Source organism: Homo sapiens, chromosome 15, assembly GCF_000001405.40.
Source record: "Homo sapiens chromosome 15, GRCh38.p14 Primary Assembly".
Lineage (NCBI taxonomy): Eukaryota > Metazoa > Chordata > Mammalia > Primates > Hominidae > Homo > Homo sapiens.
The window spans coordinates 86,673,309-86,696,138 of record NC_000015.10 but is presented as its reverse complement, the minus strand read 5'-3'; the positions used below and the strand labels follow the sequence as shown (position 1 = coordinate 86,696,138).

Here is a 22,830-nt window from a genome sequence, read left to right as displayed (position 1 = left end):
ACAAAGAAACAACAGATTTAAACTATACCCTAAAACAAATGAACCTGATAGATGTTTACAGAACATTCTAACCAATAACCACAGAATATGCATTCTACTCATGAGCACATGGAAATTTCTCCAAGATAGGCCACAAAACAAGTCTCAATAAATTTAAGAAAATCTAAATTATATCAAGTACTTTGTCAGACAACAGTGGAATCAAATTGGAAATCAACTCCAAAAGGAACCTTCATAACCATGCAAATACATGAAAATTAAATAACCTGCTCAAGAATGATCATTGGGTCAATAATGAAATCAAGATGGAAATTAAAAAGTTATTTGAACTGAACAATAATAGTGACACAACCCATTAAAACCTCTGAGATACAGCAAAGATGGTGCTAAGAGGAACATTCATAATCTTAAATGCCTACATCAAAAAGTCTAAGAAAGCACAAATAGGCAATCTAAGGTCATGCCTCAAGGAACTAGAGAAACAAGAACAAACCAAACCCAAACCCAGCAGAAGAAAAGAAATAACCAAGACCAGAGCAGAACTAAATGAATTGAAACAAAAAAATACAATACAAAAATAAATGAAACAAAAAGCTGGTTCTTTGAAAAGATACATAAAATTGATAGACCATTAGCAAGATCAACCAAGAAAAGAAGAGAGAAAATCCAAGTGAACTCAATTAGAAACGAAATGGGAGATATTACAACTGACACCACAGAAATACAAAAGATCATTCAGGGCTACTACGAACACCTTTGTGCACATAAACTAAAAAACCTAGAGGAGATGGATAAATTCTTGGAGATATACAACCCTCCCAGTTTAAATCAGGAAGAATTAGAAACCCTGAACAGACCAATAACAAGCAGCAAGATTGAAATGGTAATACAAAAAATTACCAACAAAAAAATTCTAGGACCACATGGATTCACAGCTGAATTCTATTGGACATTCAAAGAATAATTAGTACCAATCCTATTGACACTATTCCACAACATAGAGAAAGAGGAAATCCTCCCTAAATCATCAAAGAAGCCAGCATCACCCTAATGCCCAAACCGGGAAAAGACATAACAAAAAAAGAAAACTACAGACCAATATCCCTGATGAACACAGATGCAAAAATTCTTAACAAAATACTAGCTAACCGAATCCAACAGCATATTAAAAAGATAATCCACCATGATTGAGTGGGTTTCATATCAAGGATGCAGGAATGGTTTAATATATGCAAAGCAATAAATGTGATACACCATATAAACAGAATTCAAAACAAAAATCACATGATCATCTCAATAGATGCAGAAAAAGTATTTGACAAAATCCAGCATCGCTTTATGACTAAAACCTTCAGCGAAATTGGCATACAAGGGACATACCTTAATGTAATAAAAGCCATCTACATAAACCCACAGCCAACATAATACTGAATGGGGAAAAGTTGAACATGTTCCCTTTGAGAACTGGAAAAGACAAGAATTACCACTCTCACCACTTCTATTCAACACAGAACTGGGAGTCCTAGTCAGAGCAATCAGACAAGAGAAAGAAATAAATGGCATCCAAATCAGTAAAGAAAAAGTCAAACTATTGCTGTTTGCTGATGATGTGATCGTATACCTACAAAACCCTAAAGACTCCATCAAAAAGCTCCTAGAACTAATATACGAGTTCAGCAAAGTTTCAGGATACAAAATTAATGTACACAAATCAGTAGCTCTGCTATACACCAACAAGGACCAAGCTGAGAATCAAATCAATAACTCAACACCCTTTACGTTAGCTGCAAAAAAAATTAAATACTTAGGAATATATCTAACCAAGGAGGTGAAAGACTGCTACAAGGAAAACTCCAAAACACTGCTGAAAGAAAACATAGAAGACACAAACAAATGGAAACACATCCCATGCTCCTGGAGGGGTAAAATCAATATTGTGAAAATGATCATATTGCCAAAAGCAAGCTACAAATTCAATGCAATTCCCACCAAAATATTCCCATCATTCTTCACAGAACTAGAAAAAACAATCCTAAAACTCATATGGAACCAAAAAAGAGCCTGCATAGCCAAAGCAAGACTAAGCAAAAAGAACACATCTGGAAGCATCACATTACCTGACTTCAAACTATACTATAAGGCCATAGTCACCAAAATATCATGGTGCTGGCATAAAAATAGGTACATAGACCAATGGAACAGAATAGAGAATCCATATATAAGCCCAAATACTTACAGCAAACTGACCTTCAACAAAGCAAATAAAAACATAAAGTGGGGAAAGGACACCCTAGTCAACAAATGGTGCTGGATAATTGGCAAGCCACAGGTAGGGGAATGAAACTGGATTGTCATCTCTCACCTTATACAAAAATCAACTCAAGATGGATCAAGGACTTAAATCTAAGACCTGAAACTATAAAAGTTCTAGAAGATAACATTGGAAAAGACCCTCTAGGCATTGGCTTAGGCAAAGGCTTTATGACCAAGAACTCCCCAAAAAAGCAAATGCAACAAAAACAAAGATAAATAGGTGGGACTTAATTAAAAAGCTTCTGCACAGCAAAAGGAACAGAGTAAACAGAGAGCACACAGAATGGGAGAATATCTTCACAATCTATACATCCAACAAAGGACTAATATCCAGAATCTACAAGGAACTCAAAAAATTAGCAAGAAAAAAATTAACAATCCCATCAAAAAAGTGGGCTAAGGATATGAATAGACATTTCTCACAAGAAGATATACAAATTGCCAACAAACATATGAAAAAATGCTTAGCATCACTAATGATCAGGGAAATGCAAATAAAAACTGCCATGTGATACCACTTTACTCCTGCAAGAGTGGCTGTAATTAAAAAAAAATAGATGTCGGTGTGGATGCAGTGAAAAGAGAATACTTTTACACTTCTGATGGGAATATAAACTAGTACAACGACTATGGAAAACAGTGTGGAGGTTCCTTAAAGAACTAAAAGTGGAACTTCCATTTGATCCAGCAATCACACTACTGGGTATCTACCCAGAGAAAAGAAGTCATTATACGAAAAAGATACTTGCACATGCCTGTCTATAGCAGCACAATTCTCAATTGCAAAAATATGGAATTAGCTCAAAAGCCTATCAATCAACAAGAGGATGAAGAAATTGTGATATATCTATATGGAATGGAATACTACTCAGCCATAAAAAGGAACAAATTAATGGCATTCACAGCAACCTAGATGGAACTGGAGATTATTATTCTAAGTGAAGTAACTCAGGAATGGAAAACCAAACATTGTATGTTCTCACTCATAAGTGGAAGCTCAGCTATGAAGATGCAAAGGCATAAGAATGACACAGTGGTCTTTGGGGAATCAGGAGAAATGGTGTGAGGGGGATGAGGGATAGAAGACTACAAATTGGATTCCGTGTATACTGCTCAGGTGATGGGTGCACCAAAGTCTCACAAATCACCACTGAAGAACTTACTCATATAACCAATACTACCTGTTCCCTCCAAAATCAATGGAAATAAAAAAAAATTTGAAAGAAGAATTTAGTAAGTTAGTAAGAAGTTAGCAAGTGAAAGAGATGTGGTATTTATTCCTCAACCTCCCTCCTTGCGAAGCCATTGTTTGGCAGTGGCTACGTGACCTAAGGCTGCAGTTCCTGGTGGGTAGTCCTTCTACAGCCCCCAGCTTTCATAGGTGAGGGCAATTCTTCGCCAGTTCCACCCTCTTCCTCACTAAGGGTGATACTAACTTCCCACTTCTGCTTTTCCCAAGGTGCTTCACCTTTTCTTTATTGCTTCCCTGATCTTGCTTTGTAAAGAGTTCCTTCATTGAAGTTTCCTCAATTACGCCTTTGCCATGTGCCATCTGCTTGATGCTAGGATGTGGACTGATTCGAGAACAATTCTGGCACTCAAAGGAGGTCAGCTTTTTTGGTTTTTTTGTTTTTTGTTTTTTGTTTTTGAGATGGAGTCTTGCTGTGTCACCCAGGCTGGAGTGCAGTGGTGCAATGTCAGCTCACTGCAAGCTCCGCCTCCCGGGTTCACACCATTCCAAAGGAGGTCAGTTTTACAACCCTTACCTCATCCAGCAGTGTTGTCGAGCTTAAGAAACCTCATATTAAGAGAGGGACAAGCCTCAAATTGCTCTTTGAAGTCAGAGGGATACTATAATTATGATGATTCAACTTCTTAATAATAAAATTATTTTTAAGAACCACCTTAAAGGTTAATGATTGGACATGGGATCAGGCCCCTAAAAAAATAAATCCAGTCCAGATTTTATCCACATGCAGTCCCGTGGCCCTTGTGTAGAAAAGATAAGTTGGATCATAGTTAATGTACCATTTATTATGGATTAGCAATAATGTTCCTTAATATTTTTTTATAACAGCCTCAGGCAGATGGGAAAAGAAAAGGAGCAAATCGGTTTAATATAGTAAAACTTTATCATTATTGACCTTCCAGAAGGATTTCATGCCTATGATCTTATTTGTTTTCTTAGTTTTTACATCAACAGATTTTATAATGTCTGAAACCCACCTCAATTTGATCCTTGTTCCTGGCATTTTCCCTCTCATGCATCAAACATCTGGGAGCATTTTACAAGGCTTTCCTGTAATCTGCCAAACTACACACACATGTGCCTTTCAGGAGTCCAATTTTCCCCTCCCAGTAATTGGCCAATGCAGAGAAACAAAGTATCATTTTATTTTACATAATGGCACTATGTAAAATGATTCACTAATTCAGTACTGAAAAATAATAATCACAAGTTGGAAGATTTAAAAACACATGTGAGAAGATAGCACCCAGGGAAATCCAAGCTCTCAGTGCTTACACAAGCTCGCTCTTGCCCCCTGCAGTTTGCTAAGAGACAAAAGAATATTTTATAATTAGCCTTGTGTTTTGCTTGCAAACTTTAGCCAAAATGTTCATTTGCCTTATAAGGAGCTGTCAGTACCTCCAGGAATACACCACACAACAGTATTATTTAGAAACAATTTTGCTTCCATATCACGTAACAAATATGTCTTTGTTCTTCCTTTGTCTCCACTTCTTAATAGAGAAAATTGTCTAGGAAAAAAAAATGCAACCTACTACTTAATATGAATTAATATCTTTTGTTCCTCTTACAATTTAAAATAAATGTCCACATAAAAGAAAAATACATCAATAGCTAATACATTTCCCTGATTAATAATACAATTATGAACAATAGAATTCATAAATAAATAAATTAGACAAGCTTATCTTGTCACCTGCAGTTTCATTCTACTAATGAGATTGCTGAGAAAACTTCCCTTCAAGAGACTAACAATTCAGCACCCATGCTATTGGACAGTACCCTCTCAGCAAGCACCCACACAAAACCACCCAACCAAACAGAAATTGAGGAATGAAGCATAATTTTCTATGGTGACTAAGATCCCCATAATTCAGTGCCTTCAGCATCACCTTCCAACACCCTACCACACACTACTCTTCTGTGCCTTAAACAAATAAAAACCTACTCTCCTTTGTCACCCTAATGATTCGAGATAAATTTTCAAACAAATCCCAGTTCCTTGCCACTTTTCAAACCTACCTCTGCAGTGGATTACCCATGTTAATAAGGAATTTAGGGAAGAATTCAGCGTTTTTGCCTGTTTAAAAAGGTGAATGGACTAAATCTCACCCCAAATGAATTAAATGAAAACGAATGGATTTCTTTATTAAGATGACATGTTTTCATTTGTATTTCAGAGTTGGTACAAACTCCCTATGCTGTCAATTCCAAGTATAAATTCATACTTTTAAGTCTTTCCAAACACTGTATGGTCCTCAAGTCAGTAAGAGTTCATTCTATCTTGGGGCATCTGTGATCATCAGACAGGTCTTTGTAGTATCAGAGATTAATAAATCTTAGTTCCTTGCTATAAGCAAGACTTTAATTTCATTACAGAGCTATTTGAAGACAGCTAACAAAAGAACACTACCTATTTCTTATAACATTCCTTGTATGTATCACTCTTTACTTACCATTATGCAGTCAATCCACTGAACCCATTTCCATTTCTGTGGCTCAGAAATGAACCATAATATTCTAGGTTTTGTGTTGACCACAGCAAAACAGAAACCATTCCCTATCTAATTCTAGACATTATGTTTCTACCAAAGTTACTAGTTGCAATAAGAGCTTTTGCAGGTTTAGCACACAGAGCCTTAAGCTCACTGCCAATTACAATTCCCATATAGAGAACCGTGTACTCTTCCAAGGTGGCATGCTCTTGGCTAGGAACACTTTGAGCAGAATTTATCCTTATCCACTTTTATCTTTTTAGTATCATCCATCATTTCAATCTGTAAAGATTTTTTTAAATATCAATTATATTATCCTAATGTGTTGTAGTATCACATTATACAGGAAGGGACAATCGTTTCTATAGTTACAGCTAATTTTTTTTAATACATAAAAGTTCTCTAATAGGACAGAATTTGAGGTAATGCCATGGGTGTAAATCCCCATCAAGGTTAATTAATATCCATTAATCAGCGTATTTTGAATATATTCCATCAATGAACAACAATTGCATGGAATTATACTGTTATTTAGCCCGTAAGTCTTCATATCTTCCCATAAATACAGGATGAGAGGCTTGACAAAGATTTGTTCATTTATTATATTTATTGATTACTTCCTATGCATCAGGCATTATTCTAGGTGCTAGGGATTCAGCTTTAAATAAGACAGATAAAATTCCTTCTCCCATGGATTATACATTCTAGCTGGAGGAGACAGATAATACTAAATTAGAGGCCTTACAGTAGGAGTGGCTAGAAATGCTACTTTAGGCAATGTGGTCATGAAAAGTCTTGCTGAGATGGTGAAATTTAAGCTGAGATTATGACATTTAAGCTGAGACTTGAATGTCAAAGAGGAGCCAGCTATGCAACCATCTGTAGAAAATGCATGCCAGACAGAGGAACAACTAGTGACAAATTTTAAGTTAGAACTGATGCGTCTCAGGCTGTTAGAGAAACAGAATATCTGGTCGACATCCAGGTAAACAAATTCTGCTTTCTTTGATCCACTGACCATTTACCATATAAAAGTAAAATGAAATAGGATTAGAACACGAGTAATTCGCAAAAGTATTATGCTGAGTGTAAAAAACTAAATGGAAAATGAGTACATACCATATGATTCCATTGACATAAAATTCTAAAAATGCAGGCTAATATTTAGGGACAGAAAGCAAGTCAGTTGTTGTCTGGGGATACTGGAGTAGAGTGACGAATGAATTACAAAGGAACTTGATATTTGGTGTGATGATGGGAATAACTGTGATTGTGGTGATAGTTTTATGCATATATATAGATATATAGATATGCCAAAATCATCCAATTAGTATTTCAAATATGTGCAGTTTATTATGTATCAATTGTGCCCGCCTCGTTAAAGCTATAATAAAATCAGGTTTGTTTGAACATTTCACTTCATAGGGAAATATTTGGTAGTTTGAGTAATGTTTGATTCATTTTCTAAGAACCTAATAAACCTCCCTTGATAATCCATCCCATGCCCTCCTGACATCTGCATCACACTCACTTGCGTATATTCGGGAGACTATACCACTTTCTCAGTTTTGGACAGTAAAACAATATTTGCTCAACTTCAGTTTGCAAATAAGCCTCCTCAAATACCTTGGAAAAGAGTTAGATAACTTAATTTGCATATGATTTCAGAATTGCATTTTAATTCAGACAGTTTGAAAACCCTGAATTCATTCAGAGTTCCCTCTCTCACCTTGACCTCTGTTCCTTCTTGGCAAGTTTCTTCTAGTCTCCTCCTTCCCTTCTTTCTCCTCCCTTGTCCTCCCCACCCTTCTCCTCCTCCTCTTTCTCAGTCTAAATATCATCTTTATGTTGTGAAGAAAGCAGCATCCAAGGGTCAGAGAGGACCTCCCTCCTCAAGCATCAATCCCCTGCAGCACCAAGCAATGTGCCTTCCCCTTTAGCTGCATTCATACATGAAACAACGACATGCGCTTGTTGTTTCTCCTGGCATTAGTTTTATAAATTCCAACTTTTTAAGGAAGTTTCATACTCTGTTCTCATTTCATGCCCTGTTCTCATTTCTGCTGCTAACAAAAGTTAGGGTCTTGGGGAAGACAAAATCTCTGTGTTGCTGATGGAATTAGTAACAACTATTTTACTGGATATAGGGGAACTGTGCCTGGGATATGATTTACAAATGCTGAGAGGTGATTGTACTGACCTGGCTGCCAGTGTGTATGGGTCTCTCACACTCTCAATATTTCAGTGTATATCTGAGGACACTCATCGAGGGGCTATAAATAGAAACACCTGAACATAGTGAAGAATTATATAAATTAAAATTATTGTAATCATTATGTACACTTTGGAAACTCAACAAAAACGTGCAGATTTAAGAATTCCCATCAATCTACTCCATAGCAACTTGTGGAACTAACTTAGCCTATGCTTTACTCTTATGGCACTCATACTTCTGCTTTGAAGCTGTAGATTTGTCTATTCACAGGCCATGATTTTTGAAATCACTCATGACTATATTAAAATATTACATAGTATTCAGCCATATAATCATCCTATCCTTTCACTCTGATTCTCCAAGGTTTCAGGTTAGATTCTGTCAATCTATTTGTTGGATTTGGAAGCAGAAGAGAAGAGGCCATTGTTCTTGGGTAGGGGGCATTTGTGTCAGATGGATGGGCAAGCAGCAGACATGAGGGTCTAATTAGCTTTCAGGCAAGCCTCAGCCAGACACCTTCTTCTTGGTTGTTGGCTACAGAAACAGGTGAGGGCAGTTACTTCAGAAGTTCTCCAGCCGACTTTGCAGACAGAGGTGCCTGACAAGAGTGTCTTAGAAGTTCTTGAGGCTCACAGCAGCTTCTAGGTGTGCTCTTGAAAATGGCCAACTTTTCTATTGAAGGTAAACTGGCCACAGAGTTCTTGCCTTTGTTTCCATATATAGCCTTTTCAATGCCTTAATAAACCTCTAATTCCCTTTTTTTTGCCATTGATATCTGGAATTCATAGAGCAGCTTGTTTTCCTGACAAAACCCTGACCGGTGCAAGGATAAGTTAGAAACCAGAGATGAATGATTTTACAAAACCACATCCACTGTTCAAATGGGAGTAGTGGTTAAACATTCTGGTCTTAGAGTCTAACTGCCAGAGTTCAAAACCCAGCTTCATCACTTACTAGCTGTGTGGGCTTAGGCAAGTTATTTAAACTAGCTGTGTGGGCTTAGGCAAGTTATTTAAGCTCTCTGTGCCTCAGTTTCATCTCTGTCCAATGGGATATGTATAATTATATTATGTATCTCATGACTATTTGTTGTGAGAGATGATAAAAATTCATATGAATAAAAACTTAGAGGCCAGGCATGGTGGCTCATGCCTGTAATCCCAGCACTTTGGGAGGCCAAGGCAGGCAGATCACGAGGTTAGGAGTTCAAGACCAGCCTGGCCAACATGGTGAAACCTTGTATCTACTAAAGATACAAAAAATTAGCTGGGCGTGGTAGCACACACCTGTAATCTCAGCTACTCGGGAGGCTGAGGCAGGAGAATCACTTGAACCCAGGAGGCAGAGGTTGCAGTGAGCCGAGATCATGCCATTGCACTCCAGTGACAGGGCAAGACTTCATCTCAAAAAAAAAAAAAAAAAAACTTAGAATATGCTAAGCAGTCAATAAACATCAGTTACTATTATCAGTAGTGCCATTAACTCCTATTTTTCTGATGGGGATACCAAATTCCCTGGTGTCTATTTCTTCACACACTAACATGTGAGAGGTTAAAAACTAGCTAAGACTGGAATGCAAATCACTTCTAGGTCCTCAGCACTTCACTGATAGGAGATGGAGTCAATTCAAACTCTCCAGGCCTTCTTTAAAAAAACTAGATCAATCCTTTAAAAAGCAAACATTCAATAGCCAATATCATGTAGACCTAAAAAATCATTGCATGTCCTTTGCTGAGAGTGGGGAGGAGAAGTTTCTTTCACTTTTTCTAGGTTGACCACAAGTAATTAAATACATAAAGATCAAGAACAACAACAAAGGCAGGCTAACTAGTTTTGCTTCCTGACCTGGAACATCTAGTGGGTGAAAAGTTTAGATCATTGGGACTTACTTTCACATATATTTCCCTATAGTGGAGGATGTTACGATCTTTGTACTGAAATTACAGGAAGTCAGCTCTTCGGTAAAGAACAGTGATTTATATAGATCACATTTTATGGACTAATTTTTCCACTTCATCCTGGAAACTGTTTTATGAATATATTTTCAGAATCATTTGCAATATGTTTCAGAAATAAAAGAGAAAAAGCTTTGATTCAGTGACCAACATTTGAATCACTGATCAGTCATATAATACTGATTTGGCTTTTATCAAACATTTAGCATCATAAACCTCCTTTTATTTATCTATAAAATAGTATTAATCATAATAGTAATAATAATAATGACTTTCTAAACTTGCTTTAAGATAATGCCTATCAAATCTTTATCACACTTCCAGGCACATGGTATTCTATATCATTATCGTCTCTTCCTTCTACTTATTTTATTACTCACTGGCAAAGCACAGGGAGCTAGTCAGCTTTTCTGATTCAAAGCCACATAATAAAATGATGAATGCTAAGTCATCATAAACTTATTGACTCTAATTTAGTTTCCATTCCTATTGTACTGAAACAATATTGGCTTATGCTAAGTTATCTTCGTTTTCCAATAGGCTCATCTCTCACCACAAATAGAATCAGTAAGTCTATGATGAGCTATCACATGACCGAAGATATTTTTCTGGCTTACTAGAACATACTTGAGGTCTGAATTGGACAAATCTGTCTAAAGAAACTAAAAGGACCAAGCAGAGGTAATCACTTCTTTCTCCTGAGGTGTCCATGTCCAGAAACAGAAAATAGTACCTATTGACATTCCTGGTAAGAACATTTAAGCCCCTTGTAAAGGGTCGTCTTGTATCGGATTCTACTTTGGATGCTAGATGTTGGTTTGATATTTTCCACACATCTTGATATCTACTTCTAAACATACCTCTTTGTTCCCATCTTTTTCTCATTGCTTGTTTACAACTCCTTTCTGTTACCCATGCACTAGTAAGGCTTCTGTTTCTTTATCATCTATCCAGTCAACATAAAAATAAAATTTAATTTTTATTCAGTCAAATACAAGCTGTTTGCCACTTAGCATAATTCAACTGCTTTGCCTTTTGTATCTTGAATTCAGGGTTGCAACTCTACTACTGATGTTAGAATGTGAGGGTGTCAGTAGCTGTACCTTTGAGAGTAAATGCAGGATATTAGATCCGAAAGGAGATTCCCTAATGTTAAAGCCAAAAAATCTGAGAGTAAACAAGTTAAGACAACGCCATAGATTCACAGAGCTTGTCATCCCAGAAATACTTTGAATCAGAATTGAACTTCCTTGAATTTAAGCCTTATGTCTGTGATCTAAACTATGCTACGGGTCAGGTGTGGTGGCTCACATCTGTAATCCCAGCACTTTGGGAGGCCAAGGCAAGAGGACTGCTTGAGCCCAGGAGTTTGAGACCAGCCTGGGCAACATAGTGAGATCCTGTCTCAAAAACAAAAAGAAATAGAAGAGAAAAAAGAAAAAAAAAAAGAGAGAACTATGCTAGGTACTAACTAAAGTGAGGACTTCATGGAAATTTACAGGACAGCAAAAGCCATGATAGACTATTTCATCTTGGGTACAGTAGAATGTAGCCAGGGTTCTTTACTTCCTTCCTTCCTGAGAGGGGGCAACTTGGCAATTGGCAAAGATAAAGAAATCAGGTAAAAATGTGGAAATGTTCACAGAAACTTTAAAAGGCACCATCTTTCTTCTAAATCAGTAATCTAAGCTCATGATCTTTCAAACCAAAAAATGTAAACATTCTAAGATGCTTTTTATCCCCATAACGATCTGTTAGTTCAAATGCCTTGATTTCTTCTCCTGTTCATTAGCCTCCCTCCCTCTTTCCTTCCCTCCATCCCTTCTCTCCTTTGCCTTCACTATTGTATTTACACTTTTGTTTTCCTCTAGCACATCTGGTAGATTTGCTCTCACCAGTAAAATGGCTTTGACCTAAAGGACTAGCTCTTCGGTAAGAGCCATAGGTGTCACAGGGTACTTAATAAAAAGAAATAAGAATTAGATAGAAAGAAGAGAAAGCGGTAATGATGTAAAATTAATGAAAAGTTATTGAGTTAACTTAGACCACCCATGCCAGGCTATTTGAAGCCTTCTTAAATGACAACAACTGCTCCTGTTTGGGAAAACTTCAAAAGTTTTATTTGCCTTCCATTTTTAGAATTGACAACAAAAGACAAGGGCTGGGAAGGGCTGCAGTTGCTATAGAGAGTAGTAAGAGTGAGTTTCTTGATTGAAATCCTTTTCCAGGGGCTGGTAGCCTATTCTATTTTCAGGTATTTATAGTTTCATAGGCAAGAGACCTGCCGTTCATTTGGTTGAGCCTGAGGCAGAGGTGAATGAGATCCCCCATGTTGACTGGCAATGTGTAAATCACTTAACTACACCTAGCAAGTCACTTAGATTCCCTGGACTCCCATGGAGTCACTTGTAAAATAGGCATTATTTTAGGTTAACTTTCATGGTTGTTATTAGGTGGTAACATTTTGGAAGCAGCAAATGCAGTATGAAGAAAATGTACTTTCACTCCTTGGCATGTGCAATCTTTTTCTCTTTTCAATTCACCATGGGTTACAACACATTCAACCTATAATGGTATACATTAATCTTCCCTGAATAGTATTAAAACAATCAAGGGATATTTATGGTCCAAAATGAACCCAAGTCGTTTGAGTTTTAAAACTTACCCAGAAACACACACAGATATACATGTACCCAATACATACGTTAAGGAACTATAAAGAGAAATTAATAAAACTAAATTAAATTTAGATTATACATTTAATGCCCCCCCATCTGTCAGTTTTTTGTGTTGCTGAACTCGTAATCAGCATGTGTACACCATTAATTACTCTGCTTTGCTTTTCATCTATTATTCAAAAGGCTAAATATAACAAAGGATAAGAACTTGAGCCATGGAGTTAGGCAAAAGTAGATTCAAATGCCAGTGCAGTCCCTTAAATATAGTCATGACATTTGGCAAACTTATTAGCCTCTATAAAACTTAATTTCCTTGTTGGTAAAAAGGGAATGTTAATGGAAGCATCTACTACATGGGATTATTTATAGGATTAAGAGAGATAATATTTATAAAATGCTTAGCACAGCATCTAGTTCATGGTAAGGCCCTAATAAATGTTTGCTTTATTATTATCTTATATATAAATTGACATACTTATTATTTTCATGGTAGTATAGTAATTCAGAAAATTAATCAATAATGTTCTTTTTTTACTGCTAAGAATTTGAGTTGTTTAAAATTTTGTGGAGAAATAAGTACTATTTATATAAATATGTGCATAATAAATATTCTTTTCTGTTATGTTTATTGTCTTGAGTAATATTCTGTAAGCTGTAAACAGAGGATCAAATGAGAGATTTTTATGGGCCTTTTTACAAACTGCCAAATTGCTCTCCAGAGAAAAGTAAATCAATTTACCAATAGCTTCATGATATTATTAAACCTCTTTCTTCACAGAAATGTGAACACTGGGTTTTCACTATTTTAATTTATCTATTATAGAAGAATCAGCATAAAATCATACCAAAAATATTTGATTTTGCTTTTAACAGCTAATGAAACAAGGTTTTTGTTTGTTTGTTTTTTGCTATTGTTTTCCCAGCCTAAAATTAGCACTTCTTCTGGCCAATCAGTTCATTTCCCTTGACCAGTTAGGGAGCCATTTAATGTTTTAAAGCAGGATATGGTACTCATAATCTATAATAATTCCCAGGCGGAGTTCCATTCCAACATTTCCCAACATGTAGCATTTATTTGCCTGCAACTATAGAAAGAAGCTAAGAATAGTCTCAGATATTTCATACTATGCGCTAATTTTTAAAATCTGAATAGAATTAAGACAACAGCAGATAATTAAAGAGAGCTATTACCAGAATAGTCACGTAGCATTAATTTGGAATTGATGGAAACAGAAAGTTAACTTGAAACTGAAGATTCTACTAAGACTCCATCCTTCGCTTTACTGTAATGGGATCTTTATGGAAACCATTGTCTCCAATCCCAAATTTCCCATTTTGGCCCATAGACATTAGTAGGGCACTTTCCATCTTCATTCACTTCTCCATGCCTGCTCTCCTTAACCTCTCCAACACAATCACCCAACTTTGTACTCTCAGGTAAAAGCCAAAATACCATGAATTCTTGAAGAGAAAGCACCACCTAAATCACGTTACTTTCTATTAAAACAAGAGGACCTCTCTACATCCAGCTAGACCATAAAAGGGCTTAAAGAACATATAAACTCTTGATTATTGACTAATTGTAAGTCATGATAGAGCTCTCATGATTCAAAATGAATAGACCAAAAGAAAATGAGGAAAAGAAGTTGGAAGAGCAGAAACAGGTAAGAAGCACAACCTAGAGGTGGTGAAACATCCTGCAAAAGTACAAGGAGGCCAATGCCTTTCCAGAAGCTTGGCAGTGGTGCACTTCAGGGGAATGACTAGCCACAGGACACAGGAGGCTGTATAAAGGTATCTGGAAAGTTGTTTTTCAAAAAGGAATCTATGGGACGATAAATGAAAAGATAACTGATCCAAATGGAAAGTGAGCTGGCAATAGTACAAACATGAATAAAAGGAAACTCATGAAAGATGAGGAATAGGTGCAATGAAACCTAAATGTAAAGTCACCAAAATTAAAATATGTTATCAGCAAAGAGCAGAGAGTCCATGCTGCAGAAAATTGAATGTGTGAGGGCAAACTTGAGACATACTTCCAGAATTTGATGAATTGGGGCAAGGAGGTAAAAAGGATTAAAGAAGAAGAGATAACAGATACAGAGGTGAGAAAACAGATAACAAACACTTCAGAGGAAGATAAATGAAGACGTGGGGTGGCATCACTGATCCTTTATAATTGAGACATGTTTCAAGAGAATAGAATGTTCATATTCAAAATCAATTAAAGGAACTAAACCACACACACAAGAGAAAAGAAAGAAGTGAGGAAAGAAAGAAATATTTTTGATGTAGTAGAGAAATAATTTTTGTTTTAGGGAACACAGAGAAACTACTACAACTATGAAGGTAGAAAAGACAGGGTGCGGCCAGGTGCAGTGGCTCACGCCTGTAATCCCAGCACTTTGGGAGGCTGAGGTGGGTGGATCACTTGAGGTCAGGAGTTCAAAACCAACCTGGCCAACATGGTGAAAACCTGTCTCTACTAAAAATATAAAAATTAGCCACGCATGATGGTGGGCACCTGTAATCCCAGCTACTCAAGAGACTAAGGCAGGATAATCCCTTGTACCCAGGAGGCAGAGGTTGTAGTGAGCCAAGATTGCCCCACTGCACTCCAGCCTAGGTGACAGAGAGACCCCCATCTCAAAAAAAAAAAAAAAAAAAAGAAAAGAAAGAAAGAAAGAAAAAAGAAAAGAAAAAGAAAAAACAGGGTGCATACAAAGAAAGAAAAATTAGGCTGGCTACCATAAGATTACATACCAGAGTAAATTTGGCCACGTCTACATTGTTTTAATGTGTTACCCATAAAATCTCTAGGCAGGGAAAGTAGAATTCCTAGGTAAAGGGAAGAGAAGGATATTCACATATGTATTAATATGCAAAAAACTCCATTGATTTACATTTTAAAAAAGAAAAGCTACTTTTAAGGTGCTCTCTGAAAAATGTAAGATGAATCAACATTGAGAAAAAAGAATGAGGACATGATTGCATACAATGGGTAGAGATGAGCAATGCAAGTCATTAAACACAAAGTTGAATTTTAAAATGATCTGAATATGATTATAAGACAATTTAAATGCCATAGATAATTCTTATTTGGGAAAATTAACATTGGAAAAATAATATTTTTGTTTCAAATAAATAGAACACAGATGATTTTACAGGCAGTATGTACATGTTCAAGGTGCAGATGTATCCTACCTAGGAAATTTAAAGTGTTCCAGGTCATAGAACAATAGAAACCAAGCACAGACTTCACTCACTCACAAATATAGGCACAAAACTCCTCAATTCACAGTAGGTAATATCAATCTCTACATTAAAATAATATTTCAGATCACAGCCAGATACATTTTCCTTAGAAATGTAAAGATAGCTGAATATTAGAAAATCTATAAGATTTTATTAATTCAAGTAAATAGTTATTTTTCTAGATACTAAAGAATCTTTTGATAAAATTAATCATCTAATCTGGACTTTGTTAAATTAATAAGCTAAGAAAATATAGTAATAATGGAGAAGATATCAAATATTAATATCAAACCAAGAGCCATTTCACTTAATTCTTAAATGCTTAGAGTCATTCTCATTTTGAAGTTAGGTTTATGGTGAGGATGCTCATAAATGCCTCAGCCTTAAACATTAGTCTCAAAACTCTAGCCCAGATCATAAGATAAGAAAAAGAAGTAAGCAAAGCTGATGGTCAAAAATTATAAATGATACTGTTTTCTATCCAGAAAAACAGAAAAATCCCTGGAAATACTTTTAGGTATAACTAGAGAGTTCACTGAAGTTACAAATAAATATATAAATAACCCAGAAATTTCCTATATAACTAAAACAAGCACTTAGAAGCAATGTAGTGAAAAATACACATTTTTTAGATGAACAAAACTTTTTTAAATATTGAGATTAAAAGTTTATGATGATATATTCAGGAACTACATAAAAAGGATACGAACAGAATCCCTACAATACTTTACTGATGAACATCAAAGCAGATCTGAATCAGTAAATAAAAATATCAGATTTTATAAAAGTAACATAGACGAGCACTCAATAGACCAAAAATATCTATAATTTAATATTACCTGAGTTAAAATCCCAGTGGGTTAGGTTTTGGCAGCTAACAACTCATTATAGAGTGCATCAGTGAAAATAAAGAAGAGAATGCAGCAAAACACATTTTTAAACAAATACTAATGAGGTGGTGTTTGCAACATCATACATTTAGATTACAAAGCTACAGTATTAAAAGCTACGTGCTCTTGGCAGGCAGACTAATGGAACAGAATACAAATCCAAAAAATATACCCAGTTATATGCATGTGTATATACTATATAATAAACCGGCATTACTAATCCGTGATAAAAGGTGGATTACTTAAAAATACAAAATGATTCAATAGTAAAAATGGAAAATAAATTATAATATGTAAATATACTCACTATAAAACTACCTGCCTACCTCAGTTCAATAACAGATAGATAAACAGTGGGTGTGAATTTATCTGTTATTAAACCGAGGTAGACAGGTTTATCCAAGGTAAGAGAAGCAAAGAAAAGAATTGATAAACATAATTACTTGAAAGCAAAAATATTCAATGTCAATAAACCATATAGAAAATGTGAAAGGTAAATGACAATTTGGGGAAAATATTTGCAGCATACAAGACAAACAGAAGTTGAGTACCTTTAACACAGAAATTAAAATTAAATGTAAATATAACTTTTTTAAAAAAAGGGATGGTTAACAGAATAATGCACAAAGACGTGATTAGGAAATTTATAAAAAATACTCCTCATGATATAGAAGGATTTTTATCTGCATCAGAAAACATCAAATTCTAAATTAAAACAGCACCCCATTTTCTCCTAAAAATGGCAAAAGTTTTAAAATAGGAACAAGTGTTTATAAAGCTGCAAAAAAGGAGAACTTATAGCACATTGTTTTTGAGAGTACTGTATGTCTATTTATCCATAGGTAAAAAATATAACCTAGGAATAAGTTCAAATAATTTATTGCCAGCATGGTGAATATAGTTAATGACAATATATAACATTCTTGAGAAATGATAGAAGAGTGGATGTTAAATGTTCCCACCACAAAAATAACTTTGTGGGGTGATACATAGGTTAATTACTAGACTTAGCCATTCCACAATGTATATGGGCTGCAAGGCATCATATGGTACACAATAAACACATACAATTTTATCTGTCAATTTAAAACAATAAATTAAGTTAAAAACAGAAAAATAATTTAGGATATTTCGCCATAATGCTGACAGTAGTTATCTGGATGCTGAGACAGGGATAGGGGCGCTTTTGTCTGTCTTCCTAATTTCATTTTCTCATTCAAAAGAACAAAATTATACTTTTACAAATGAAAATCAAGCACCTTTTTAATTATTAAACTTTTTTTTCTAATATCTATGTAGAATTTTTATTCTTTTAGTGTTGTCCGTCAAACAAACCTAGTTTATGTAGATACTAAGGTGAGCCCAGGCTAAAGCAACAGGACTATAATTTCGGAGAACACGGGAGGTGTTGAGCCATTGCTGAGGCACAGCTCTGAAGCTCTGAGCTTTAGCTTTCTCTTGTTATTAAGTGAGGGACAAATGGAGGTGGGGGGCTCGGCTGAGAAGAGCAAGAGGCAGTGGAGGGATACAAATCGAGACGAACAGTGGCTGACTCGGCAAAACTTAAGTGACTTTGCAAAAGACCTGTCACAATGGATAAACGGCTCCTCCTGAAGAAGCAGCTTAGCATTCCTGCAGTGCACACACAATTATTTCCAGGGATAAGATTGAGAGGAAGGAGAAAGGAAGAGGAGAGGAAAGATCAAAAGATGCTTTCGTGAGTATGCAGACATTTCTGAAATGAGCAACTGGGAAGAAGAGGACTGCAAAAGGAAACCAAAAACAAAGCATGCATGTACTTCATTTTCAGCGTCAGCCACCAGGCAAACATCCGCTATCTCTGCTCTTCCTCTGCTCTTGAAAAATGTTGAGTTGCTCTGTGGATATTGAGTACACTCTAATTGTTTTTATGGTAAATGAAGCATGAAACCTATTGTCAGAAAACATGATGTCCACAGTGTGCAGCCACACTTTGTCTTCCTGGCTGATCACTCCCAAGGAGTTAATGCTGTCTGTGGGCCTAGGAGAGGATGCAGTACCACATCCTTGCATTTTTTTTGTTGTTGTTTGTTTGAGACAGAGTCTCCCTCTGTCGCCCAGGCTGGAGTGCAGTGCCATGATCTTGGCTCACTGCAACCTCCGCCTCCCAGGTTCAAGACGGGGTTTTACCATGTTGGTCAGGCTGGTCTTGAACTCCTGACCTCGTGATCCACCCGCCTCAGCCTCCCAAAGTGCTGAGATTACAGGCATGAGCCACCGCACCCAGCCATTCTTGTAGTTCTTTAGGGCAGACCTTTGGAGAAGAGCCCCCTCACCCACAATGTTATTCACAATTCCTTCCACGCAACAACAATACAAATCTTCTTGTAGGATGCTGGAAACCCTGTTATGTCAAAGAAAGAGGCAGGAGGAGAGGAGGGTGGTAGAGGTCTCCTCTTTAAAACATACATAGATTTGTGTTGACAAACATTGGTTACACTCTTTGTATTACAATAAGAATCCTGATACTAACAAAAGTTCTAGGATTCACTCTGCTGATTATTATATCTCAGGATTTAACTTTATTCTTCAGAAACTAATCAAATGGTTCTCAAAAAGCCTGTTGATGGTTTCAAACCAGTAGATTTTATAAATTTTTCTCTCTGTCATCTTTTTGTGACCATAAGCTTATTGGCTGGAACATTTTTGGGGTCAAGAAATGCTCACGGTGATCTCCCTCTCAACCATGCAGTTTTCAGGTCCTTTGGGCAAGAATCGCAATCCGTGTGGTCAACTGCATCATAACGAATAGGAAAATATATTACCATACAAATGTCTGGGTGAAATAGGTAGTTTCCCTCCTGCTGATCTACACCAAACTCCATGCCTGCCAAACTTAATTCAAATATATTCAAAGTAGACATATTAATCACATCCTGTGTTCAGGTATCTTTCCTAGACTGGGAGCTGCACCAGCCTAGGAAAGGTCAGAGGTCATGGGAGGACCTCTAGCTTCAATCCCCTTGGTCAGGATGCAATTGAAAAATGAATAATTGTGTGAAATGGTGTGGAAGGGTGGAGGCAAATAATACTATCTCCTTATAATAACCTATATAGCAGCCATTGTATTTGAAGCCTGACATCAAATTCTTTAAACTTGAATTAGAAAAGGCATTTCTTTGATAGATTTCTTTTTGTTCCAGTTTGCAGGCAACTAATCCTCACTGAATTGGATCAAACAGACGGGCACAATCAATTTGACGAAAGCAAGCAATGCCAGTTCTGCTCAATCTTCCCTCAATGAGCAGCAGAGGAGAGAGGGGGAAAAAGAGAAAGAAGGAAAGAAAATCCAGGCATGCCTACACCCAAGATAGCTTAGTAAAGGAAAAGATGAAAAGACAAGTTGAAATATATATGCTGGCAGGTGGAAGCGCTTGCTGTCAGAGGGAGAGTCTGAAAACACCACAAAGATACCAAACACACGAAGCCTTCAGACACTGAGGGGTGTTGAAGGGACCAGGGGCAGGCAGAAGTGGTTGTGATGTCAAAATAAATCAGCAACGGCAGCTCTATGGAAAGAGCCCTGCACTTACTTAAGTTTCTATAGTCTATGATCTATAGCCCAGTGTGGTGAGCAAGTTAATTACTGCATTTAGGTAATCAAGTCTCAGAAAAACCACGGCCTTCCAAAGCAGTATTAAGGCATACTGCTAGATCTTTCTAGGTTTCACTGGCCATTCAGTATGTCACACTGCAACAGCCACCTAACAGGAACAGGAGGAAAATTCAAGAAAATTAGCTCAAAATAAGATGGCCCCAGGATGAATGGCTTTCTCTCTGCCTTTGGACGTGAAGTGCACGACCAGATGCCTCCTCATTTACCAGGAGACACTTCCCCAACAACTCAATTTCTCCATCCATTCTGACACTCAAAGTGTGGGCAATGACTTAGCCGCTTTTGGCTTCTTGGACTCCCCTCCATCCTCTCTCCTCTCACATGCCCATTATTTCTTCCCCTCTTGCCCACTGAATTTGTTTTGGTCAAGTCTAAAATATTTCTCAACAGGAAAGAACATCAAAACGGCTCATTTGGATAATGGTTCTCCCTCACTTGGCTCATTAATAATCTCCACGATTCTCAGAAATCTAGCCTTTCCCTCCTATGGCTGGGAGTCCGGTTCTCTGAGCCAAAGTATTAATCATCTTCAGGTGGTTCCCTTCATCTTCCAAGAAGGAACAATGATGTTTGAGAATGGGAAGAGTAAAACATTTCTTGTCTCCAGGTGCCTAGATATTGTCAATGAGATTGCCATTGTTTTTTGTTGAGTAATGGCTCAAAAATGTTATCTGTATACATATAAACACATAACTGGTAAATATAAGTGTATGTAGATATCCTGTGTGTGTGTCACCAAGCCACATCTTATCATAAATGTGTTACCTAGAAATATGTATAAATACATATAGTTTTATATTTGCATATATGTGTACAAACAGGCAGCATCCTCTTTTTCATCAGTAGGAAACGAGATAGTGTACCTACCTTTACTTGGGAATTCTTCCATATTTTCTCTGTGTAAAGACCCCTAGGTCCACTCGACTTTCATTACTGAGATATTGAGCAATGGAACCACCAAGGTCCAAATTTCTCTGAGCCCTTGGGAGCATCTTACCGTTGGAGGTGCTGGTCCAGAGCGTCCTCCTCAGCACTCAGCAGAGTTGCAGCTTGAGCCAGGAGCTGATGGCTGCAGCTGGCAGATTTGAGCTCCAGGATGAGGAGGCCCAAACAGAACATGGCTCCCATCTCCTCCAGTTCTCTGGTACCAAACTGTAGACCCTGCCAGTTAAACAAAGCATTAACTGTGGCAACGTATAATGGGAGCTGAGTGGTGACACTTTGAAATTAGGAAGAAGGACTTCTACACACAGGCATTTTTCAGACAGTGAGAATTAATTGTATTTGTCAGTCACTGTCCATTACATTCTGTTGTGTGCATTGTGGAGTGGTGGTTCTCAGTCTGTGTGATGTCGACATCCAGGGCTCCCCAGAAGTACCCCCATGACAATAATGAGCTGGTAGGGGTTATAAAGGGAAAGGGGGATATATGGAGATCCAGGAATCTGTACCCTTCCCACACCATGGTCAAAGCAGCAACGCTTTTATCTGTATTTTTAAAAAGGGTTTTTTTTCACTTCTGAAACAGAAGTTCATAAAGAATCTTACTAAGAGATAACTTTTCCTTCCTCTGAATTTATCGGCCAATGGAGAAAAGTAGGGGAAATATTTCATATATAAATACTGAACACTGAAACTTTAAAAAACCAGTATTCATTTAGAACCCCCTATTCAGCTGTACTCATATATGCATGAAAGCAAAATCATGACATGTACTCTATAGTATAATTCATGAAGAAACAGATAATAATAACAATTGACCAAACTTAATTGATCACTTACTGCATGCCAAATACCCTTCTAAGCTCTTTGATTTGCATTAACTCAGCGGATCCTTACCAAAGCCCTGTGAGGTAGAGATTGTTCTTTTCTCCATTCTACAGATAAGGAGATGCAGACTTATGAATACAAGTAACTTATCCAAGGCCTAGCATCTAGTAAGTACCAGAGGCTAATAAGTAAATTCAGTCTTGACTACTCAACATAAAAAGCTGTATAGCGACTAGAAGAGACTCCATTGTGGTGAGCTAGAAAGTGCGTGGTTTTTGAAGTTAGATCAGAATTAAGTGTGAATCTGGTTTCACTAGTTTCTAAATGTGTGGTCTTGGGCTCAGCGAACTCTTTT

General features: G+C 36.8%; 1 protein-coding gene across 5 annotated transcripts in view; it reads right to left on the bottom strand.

The window, feature by feature from the left end:
* AGBL1 (AGBL carboxypeptidase 1) overlaps window positions 1-22,830 on the bottom strand; it is a 951,857-nt gene that overhangs the window by 335,338 nt on the left and 593,689 nt on the right. For all 5 annotated transcript variants that reach the window (XM_011521227.4, NM_152336.4, XM_017021919.3 and 2 more), the window contains one exon: window positions 21,703-21,866. In XM_011521227.4, the coding sequence (XP_011519529.1) occupies window positions 21,703-21,866 (164 nt within the window). The remainder of the gene's footprint in view (window positions 1-21,702; window positions 21,867-22,830) is intronic.